The sequence below is a fragment of the Homo sapiens genome, chromosome 14, assembly GCF_000001405.40.
Source record: "Homo sapiens chromosome 14, GRCh38.p14 Primary Assembly".
In the NCBI taxonomy this organism is placed as follows: Eukaryota; Metazoa; Chordata; class Mammalia; order Primates; family Hominidae; genus Homo; species Homo sapiens.
In genome coordinates, this window is record NC_000014.9 from 89104625 (window position 1) to 89114121 (window position 9497).

The 9497-nt window shown below is 49.2% G+C and overlaps 1 pseudogene; it reads right to left on the bottom strand.

Moving 5' to 3' along the window:
- Positions 1-5283: 5283 nt before the first annotated feature.
- MPPE1P1 (metallophosphoesterase 1 pseudogene 1) lies at positions 5284-6799 on the bottom strand (annotated as a pseudogene).
- Positions 6800-9497: the final 2698 nt, after the last annotated feature.

Genomic DNA, 9497 nt, shown 5'->3' on the forward strand with positions numbered 1-9497 from the left:
AGGGGAAAACCGCCTACTCAAGCCTCAGTAATGGTGAATGCCCCTCCCCCCATCAAGCTCGAGTATCCCAGGTCAACTTCAGACTGCTGTGCAGGCAGAGAGAATTTCAAGCCAGTGGATCTTAGCTTGCTGAGCTCTGTGGGGTGGGATCTGCTGAGCTAGACCACTTGGCTCCCTGGCTTTAGCCCCCTTTCCAGGGGAGTGAACTGTTCTGTCTCACTGGCATTCCAGGCACCACTGGGGTATGAAAAAAAAAAACTCCTGCAGCTAGCTCGGTGACTGCCTGACCAGTTGCCCAGTTTTGTGCTTGAAACCCAGGGCCCTGGTGGCATAGGCACCTGAAGGAATCTCCTGGTATACAGGTTGTGAAGACCATGGGAAAAGCATAGTATCTGGGCCAGAATGCATTGTCCCTCAGGGCACATTCCCTCACGGCTTCCCTTGGCTAGGGGAGGGAGTTCCCTGACCCTTTGCACTTCCCAGGTGAGGCGATGCCCCACCCTGCTTTGGCTTGCCATCTGTGGGCTACACTTACTGTCTAACCAGTCCCAATGAGATGAGCTGGTACCTCAGTTGGAAATGCAGAAATCACCCGCCTTCTCCCTTGATCTTGCTGGGAGCTACAGGCTGGAGCTGTTCTTATTTGGCGATCTTGCCCACAGCTCCCTTGCTTTCCTCTTTACTAGCATGTTGTCACATACAGATTTTAAGAACACTTTTGGTAGATGTGATCCAAGAGTAACTCAGAAGAGCATCTGTGGCATCCATTCTTCCCTTTGGTAATTTTTAAGAAAAATAATGCTGCTGCTTCTCTCTTTGTAAATGGTGACGGCTTTCTCCACTACATCCTGTATTCTCTCTGCATTTTTGCCTTCTTGATAGCATTAGCAATTCTCAGAACAGATAATAACCTAGAAATCCAGGTTTGATTAGTAAGTGATATTTCTAAAAAGTGCTTGCAAACCTCCTTTTATGGACCAGGGATATTAACAGAAACTGTTTTACAGTTCTTCCTTTCCAGGGACAAAACTGATCTCATAATCTGTGACCATTATTCCAAAGTGAGAATCCATCAGGCTCTGCATGTGGCTGTGAGAATGAACTTCCTATCCAGAGTGAGATCCATTAGGGAAAGCCAGCCCCTCCATGGGGCAGATGATGTCAGGAAGTGGTGGCTGGGTATCATCATAGCCATCATTTTGCCTCGCTAAATAAGGCATCAAAAGGGGACAGAACACATCTCCCTTTGGGGGCAGTTGTCCTGGGTCCCTTATATGTGGGCAAACCCCTCTTCACTCATTCCTCTGGGACTGGGAGTGAGCGTGCTTGTGACAGCTGTCTAGATGAACCTCTAAGCCGAAAGGGTACAGACATTGTTAAATGTCACACAGCCTTGCCTTAAATGAAGACCAAATGTTGCCTCAAACAACCTCTGTGCCTGATAGCCTGAAACCTGTGTCTCATCATTTTTTAAAGAGTCTACATAGGCCTAGAACAGAAAATGGAGCTTTTCCTATTTTTCAGCAAGACTTTAAAAGCATCCCTATGACAAGGATGGAAAAGAAAAAGCTGACTGCTTCTCCGTGCTTGTAAGAAGGTAAACTCTGTAGGGGAGACATGGCATGTTTTGTTCAGCTGGCACATGTCAGTATGACTACGACAATTGGTAAAATGCTGAAATACTTCCAGACCAATTAACACTCACTGTGCTGAGCAAGGCCCCAGAAATCGCCAACCACTAACAGAGAGGGTAGTGACTGGCCCACTGGGGGCCGGCGGGACCTGTTCCAGCCCCTTGACTTATATCTGTTCTGGTTGGCTGTTGCTGGAACCCTCGTAACTATTGATATTCTGCAGACCGTCCCTATTGCAGCCCAAGCATCTGAAGCTGTGCCTGGCAGAGGCCCTGATATGGTTTGGCTGTGTCCCCACCCAAATCTCATCTTGAATTGTAGCTCCCATAATCCCCACATGTTGTGGGAGGGACCTGATAGGAGGTAATTGAATCATGGGGATGGTTACCCCCATGCTGCTGTTCTCATGATAGTGAGTTCTCATGAGATCTGATGGTTTTATAAGGGGTTCCCTCACTTTTTTTTTTAATTAGACAGAGTCTCACTCTGTTGCCAGGCTGGAGTGCAGTGGCGAGATCTCGACTCACCGCAACATCCACCTCCCAGGTTCAAGCAATTCCCCTGCCTTAGCCTCCCGAGCAGCTGGGACTACAAGAGTGCTCCACCTCACCTGGCTAATTTTTTGTATTTTAACAAAGATGGGGTTTCACCATATTGGCCAGGATGGTTTCGATCTCCTGACCTCGGGATCCACCCGCCTCAGCCTCCCAAAGTGCTGGGATTACAGGCATAGGCCACTGTGCCCGGCCGGTTTTCCCCTCCTTTGCTCGGCACTTCTTTCTTGCCTGCCATGATGTTAAGACGTGCCTTTGCTCCTCCTTTGCCTTCCACTATGATTGTGAGGCCTTCCCAGCCACGTGGAACTGTGAGTCCATTAAATCTCTTTTTCCTTTATAATTACCTAGTCTCAGGTATGTCTTTATTAGCAGTGTGAATGGACTAATACAGAACCCCCCCATATATATTTGCTGAGTGAGTGGATAAGGACACCCATATATTCCAGCCACCTTTTGGTAGGTGGTTTATAGGGGTAGGCACAGGCCCTGACTAAAGAACTGGCTGTTTTGCCAAGGAAGGGACCTGAGCTGAGAAGACTCATTTACTCTCGAAGACTTAAGACAACATCTCTCTTGGACCAGAGAATGCTGGTGAGTAGCCCAGGGACAAATCACCCCAGTGGGTGCTGGGCTCTGCCGATACTTGGTCTTGAGGCAGCTGGGCAGCACTCATGGGACTCCAAGTTGCCCCCACCCACATCCCCAAGCTGAGAGGCAGGACTGACAGTGCGCTCATAACTGCCAACAAACTGATATTAAAATCCCATCCGATTAGTTAAAGCTCACCCTGTGAGCTCTGATATTTTTCAGGAAATAGGAAGGATGTCTGCCCCCCTGCACACACCCCCCCTGCCCTTTTCTCTTAGTTTTCTTTTTTAATAACACATTCAGAAGTGGTTTAATGGCTGTTGAAGGAAATTATTGCCACAGCAATCAGGGCTCTCTGTGTGAAACACCTTCAATAGTCCGTGGCCTCCCTCATGAGGCAGGGGGACATTTGGATATTTAAAATGCCACTGAGCTACATCTGCCGGCAAGCAGCCACTAATCATCTCTTAAGGCAGCAGGGGACCTACCCCAGGTCCTCAACTCACCAATACCTTCCTTAGGCGTGTTGCAGCCAGATGGTGGTTTCCTAGGCAAGGACAGCAGAGAACGAGGAATAAAGAAGTAGAAAAGGATCTGGCAAGAGGCCAGCACAGAGCGAACCATTTGCTCATCCTCTCTGCTCCAGGTGAGAACAGACCTGCATGGCTCACATTCGTGAGGTCCAATTTTCAGTTAAGTGGTGCCTCAGAGGAAGCATGTGACCTTACTTGCAGTTACATCCAAAGACTATACATTTTTTTAAGTGCTCCTGTAAGTTGAGCAGCTTCTATATGCTGGGTTGGGAGGATGCAGTCATTGGCCTTCCTGGATTCTCCTTCCTGCTTCTCTATCCTCTTCTGAGCCTGGGACGCTGGCCTGCCTGGAAGGCCCCCTTATCCTCTGCCTTCCACTGGAGTTTGGCCAGCGGGAAGAAGCAGCCGGAGTTAGAAGGGTGGGAAGAGAGTAAAGTCAGGATGTTTATTCTCCAGTTCACACCCTGTAGAGATACCACCAGGGGTTGGCAGTGTACGTCCTGGCATCAACCTCCAATCCTATTGGACGATCCTCCCCGTCATGCTACTTATATGTAGCAAGCATTCTGGATTCTGACAACTGTTTTCTCCTTTGCCCTTCAGGCTAACAGCTATAACAGCTACCCCCACTCCCCCGCCCATACACACCATTGCCAGCCAGGTACTATGCTATGTCTTGTGAGTCTCCCCATCCTTGCTGCGCCTTTGTACGTGGTCTCCTAATTTCTCTCTCCTCCAATCACCCAGTTTGAATGTGCCATCTGTTCCTTGCTGGGCCCTGGCTGCCACCCAGCTGCATGCGGGTCTTTCTGTACCTTCTTGGAGACCTTCATACCACTCCTGCAATGTCATCATAACAGTCTCCCTTTACAGAGAAGACACCACGTGACTTGCCCAAAGGCACTCAGCTCAGCTGGAATTTGTGACTCTAGGCATCAGAAGCATGTCAGTCTAATTTCCAAGTGTAGGCCCTGCTCCCTGCCCCCCTAGGATCTCTTAGACCTCACAGGGGTCCCCATATCCTTATTTCAATCTTCTCTCAGCACCAGCTGTTTTATGAACTAAACTTTGCTTACCAGCCTTTGGATCAAAGCACTTCGACACCTTTGATTTCCTTTGAGCCTTGGAACATGAATTTACTTGGATCCAAATCATTCCCAACATACCAAGAACCTACAGATGAAAAGGAATCCAGCAAGGGACCCGTTGGCAGAGGATCGGTGGCCTTGTGTCATCCTTCAGTGTATGGCACACCATGGGCACCCAGGAATGTCCTGGGGAGGCGTGGCATTGTCCCAGCAAGTAGAACCAACATGTGTACAGCTTGGGCTATAGCAGGGGTCATTCTGCCTGGTTCAAAAGTCCACTCTTCCTTTTAATACATGGCATGACCCATTTATATTAGGGTAAAGCATACCTCCTGGAGAAAGCAATCTTAAGATACAGTGAAGAATATGGTTTTTCATTTCTTTTTCTCAGATGTAAGCATCTGATTTGAACATTCCAGGTTGGCAGATCACTATGCCCCATGTGGCCATCAGGAACCCTTTCAGCTTGTCTCTGCATGTCCAGGAGCAGTGCTGCTTAAGTGTGGATTATAGGCAAGTACTAGTCCATCAAACTTCTTGGTAAAAGTCCACCATGAATTGAGTCGCGACATGGATAACACACTTTCAGAAACTTTTACCTCGATTTGACATTGCCATGACATCCAGGCACATGACCAATGGACTCGTCTCATTGAACAAGTTGTAGACCAAAAGTTGGTCCATGATAGATGGGAATTGGAGTTGGGTGGAAATCACATTCTTCAACACAGGTAGTTTCAGGAGTCCTGCTTTAGAGTCTACTATTCTATCTGGTAATTTCTGTAGCCAGCAAGAAAGAGAAAAAGAGCATGGAAGAACCACACTCTGTGTCTGTTGTTGTTGTTGTTGTTGTTGTTGTTGTTGTTGTTGTAGAGTAGCTGTTCCATTTTTATAGCATGAGAACAGTACAATCTACTACTTGTTCTGCAGTAACTCGTTTCAGTGATTGAGAATTTCTGTGATATGCAGAGATGGCCTATATTTGGTCTCATTATCCACTTGAGTCTAACATGATCTCTGCCCAAAGTTCCATTTCTTGGGCTTTGATATTTATTACTAAGTGCATATGTTGCTTGCTTTTCACCTTGTCTTATGCTTTCTGAGCAGGTTCAAACCTCAGAAAGAAAAGGTGAGGCTAAAAGCTCAAAGTGAGTAAGTGTCAGAACCACAAGGAAGCCCACCACTCCACAGTAGATGATCAAGACCACGTCCTCAGGTGGTAGGTGGCACTTGGAGAGGGCATAGTCTGTGGGTGTGATGCTACCCATAATGAAACTGGGGTTGTTTCTGTTCCTCCAACTGAAAGATGAGAGGCTGAGCTCGGGGATTCATCCCCCGTGGTGCACCTCGCAGGTGCTGTGCGTGTGGCCGCTGAGGACCAGGTGTGGCTGGAGTCAACACAGCAGCTTTTGCGATGCCTCCCGAGAAAGCACATCATAATTCTCCTTAATGGGGTGTTCTTTTCCTCCGGAGGAGCAACATCTTCCCCAGAACAGTTAGTGTCGCTTCTCCAATACAGAGGATAACGCTCTTGGGAGCAGTTCAGTCTGTAAGAAACTTCAGTGAGCTCTGCTTCTGCTTCAGAACAGATGCCACAGCTGTCCCCCTTCAGTGCCATGCTGTTGACCATCATGAAGTTAATCCTTTCCAAGAAAACAGGCTTTCAGAGATGAACACTTTCTCAAACCGTTCTACTTCGTATGTGTTCGTCTCATAGTGGAAGCCAGTGTCATGGTTTCCAGCAACTACCTTCAGCTGCACATGACTTGGGTGTCTGAACATTTTCCGAAACTGCTCCACATCATCCACCCAGGCCTCAGAGGTGCTCCACTTCCCTTCATCAAAGACATCCTCCAGGATGAAGACGACTTCCGGCTGCAGCAACCACAGAGCTGTCTGGAAGGCTCTCTCCACCTGCCATTCCCTTCGTAATTTGTCCAGCCAGTGACCTAGGAATTCCCTAAGCAAGTGGGTGTCAGCCAAAAACATGGCTTTGAGCACAGGCTCACACGTGGCCTGTTCACCATCATAGGCTGCGGTTTTCGCTTCAGGCCAATTACACCAAAAGATCACTAAGTAATAGATTAAAAATTCACAAAACAGAAGCACAGAGAAGACAATGAATTTCAACAGCAATCAACTCTTCCTCTTCAACGGATGAAAACTCTGTCTTCCAAACCTCAATCCACTCATAGCCATTTCTCAAGCAACTAACAAATCCATCAAGGGTTCACCATGAGAAAACTGCAGAGCCCTGGGTAGGGTGATGGCATTCAGATCTTAGCTGGGTACCTGTAATTTTTCAGGAAAATCACCGATTCACCTCACCTTTTAAAGAGAGAGAGATTGGTATGAAAGTAGTTAACTTCTGCTCCCCCAAGTCAGAATGCGTTTGTAACAGCCACGCTTTCCCGCCCTGTGAGCAACGCCAGGCAGGTGGTGAGAGGTGACAGCGTGCTGGCAGTCCCCACAGCCCTCGCTCGCTCTCGGCGCCTCCTCTGCCTGGGCTCCCACTTTGGCGGCACTTGAGGAGCCCTTCAGCCCACCGCTGCACTGTGGGAGCCCCTTTCTGGGCTGGGCAAGGCCGGAGCCCACTCCCTCAGCTTGCAGGGAGGTGTGGAGGGAGAGGCGCGAGCGGGAACCGGGGCTGCGTGCGGCGCTTGCGAGCCAGCTGGAGTTCCGGGTGGGCGTGGGCTTGGCGGGCCCCGCACTCGGAACAGCCGGCCGGCCCTGCCGGCCCCGGGCAATGAGGGACTTAGCACCCGGGCCAGCGGCTGCGGAGGGTGTACTGGGTCTCCCAGCAGTGCCAGCCCACCGGCGCTGCGCTCGATTTCTCACCGGGCCTTAGCTGCCTTCCCGCAGGGCAGGGCTCGGGACCTGCAGCCCACCTTGCCTGAGCCTCCCACCCCCTCCATGGACTCCTGTGCGGCCGGAGCCTCCCCAGCGAGTGCCACTCCCTGCTCCACGGCGCCCAGTCCCATTGACCATCCAAGGGCTGAGGAGTGCGAGCGCACAGCACGGGACTGGCAGGCAGCTCCACCTGCAGCCCCCGTGCAGAATCCACTGGGTGAAGCCAGCTGGGCTCCTGAGTCTGGTGGGGACGTGGAGAACCTTTATGTCTAGCTCAGGGATTGTAAATACACCAATTGGCACTCTGTATCTAGCTCAAGGTTTGTAAACACATCAATCAGCACCCTGTGTCTAGCTCAGGGTTTATGAATGCACCAGTGGACACTCTGTATCTAGCAGCTCTAGTGGGGCCTTGGAGAACCTTTATGTCTAGCTCAGGGATTGTAAATGCACCGATCAGCGCCCTGTCAAAACAGACCACTGGGCTCTACCAATCAGCAGGACGTGGGTGGGGCCAGATAAGAGAATAAAAGCAGGCTGCCCGAGCCAGCAGTGGCAACCTGCTCGGGTCCCCTTGCACACTGTGGAAGCTTTGTTCTGTTGCTCTTTGCAATAAATCTTGCTACTGCTCACTCTTTGGGTCCACATTGCTTTTATGAGCTGTAACACTCACCGCGAAGGTCTGCAGCTTCACTCCTGAAGCCAGCGAGACCACGAGCCCAAAGGGAGGAACGAACAACTCCAGACGCTCCACTTTAAGAGCTGTAACACTCACCGTGAAGGTCTGTAGCTTCACTCGTGAGCTGGCGAGACCATGAACCCACCAGAAGGAAGAAACTCCGAAAACATCCGAACATCAGAAGGAACAAACTCCAGACGCGCCACCTTAAGAGCTGTAACACTTACCGGGAGGATCCGCGGCTTCATTCTTGAAGTCAGTGAGACCAAGAACCCACCAATTCCAGACACAGTGGGGCGCACTGGGCATGGTACAGGAGCCCTTTCACCTGCGCCTGCCGACGGTTGCAGCAGCCGAGGGGCCCGGGCACTGCAGCCTGAGCCCGGCCGTGCACCCACCACACTCTGTGTCTTAAGATGTCATCTTGGGGATGGTTCATCCTCCTCTCACCATATGCAAGTGAGAGCTTTTCAATATGGCCCCTGCCCCTAACACAAGGAACGTTGGGAAACCTGGTCCTCCACTGTTCAGCGTGCATCCGCCACTGAACCCTCACCATGGACGATGAGAAGAATGGATTTTGGTGAATGACTACTATTTTTTTTTAATCACGTCACCCTTCCTTATCACCCATTCTTGAATACAGCCCACTCAAAATGAAAGCCACCATTTCTACCAAAAACAGTGATCAGCAGTCTTTCCTGTACACTCTCAACTCTCAGTTGGAACACACAGGAGTAGGAAAATGCTGGACCAGCATCCAAGACCTGCTTACTATTCCTACCTCTGTAGCAAAATGACTCTGTGACCTGGAGGACACTGTTTTATCTCTGTGCTTCAGTTTCCTCCCTTGACAATCAGGGATCATAATATTTATCAAGTAAAATCATTGTTGGCCATGTACACCATACGTTAATAGTGATAGCTAACATTTATTGAGTGTTTGCTATGTGCCAGGTGCTGTTCTAAGTATGTTGCATGTATTAATCCATTTAACCTTCACACCAACACTATAAGAAGGGTTCTATTATTGTCTTCATTCTACAGCTGAAAAAAAGTGAGGTACAGAGCAAGTAAGGAACTCACCCAGGGTCACCAGAGTCCAAGTTCATAATCACTGCCATCCTGCTTCCTTAATAGAGAGGTAAAGGGTTTTCAGAGTATTTTATCCTGTTTTCCTTGAATTTCCTGAACTTCCACTTTAGTTTATGGGCCATCTGGTCTGTCTCGCTGTGAGATGAAGAATTCTTTCTAGGAAGGGACCATTGATTTTCCGTCCTCATACCCCCAACCACAACCTATCCAACCTGGTGCTTTCATGTAAGAGTTTAGTGAATGTGTGTGGATGAATCTCGGTAAATACAGCAATGCAATTTTTATTGAATTCATGATGCCATCATGGAAATGGCATAAATTTGCCATCACCACACCTGGATTCAATCCCGCTTCTCCTGGATCCTAGCTGTGCTAGACTGGGCAAATTACTTATCCACCTAACCTCATGAAGCATTCTTTTTCTCCCCATTAAAATGGATGTAATATAGAGAAAAAGTTTAGTTCTTAAAGCC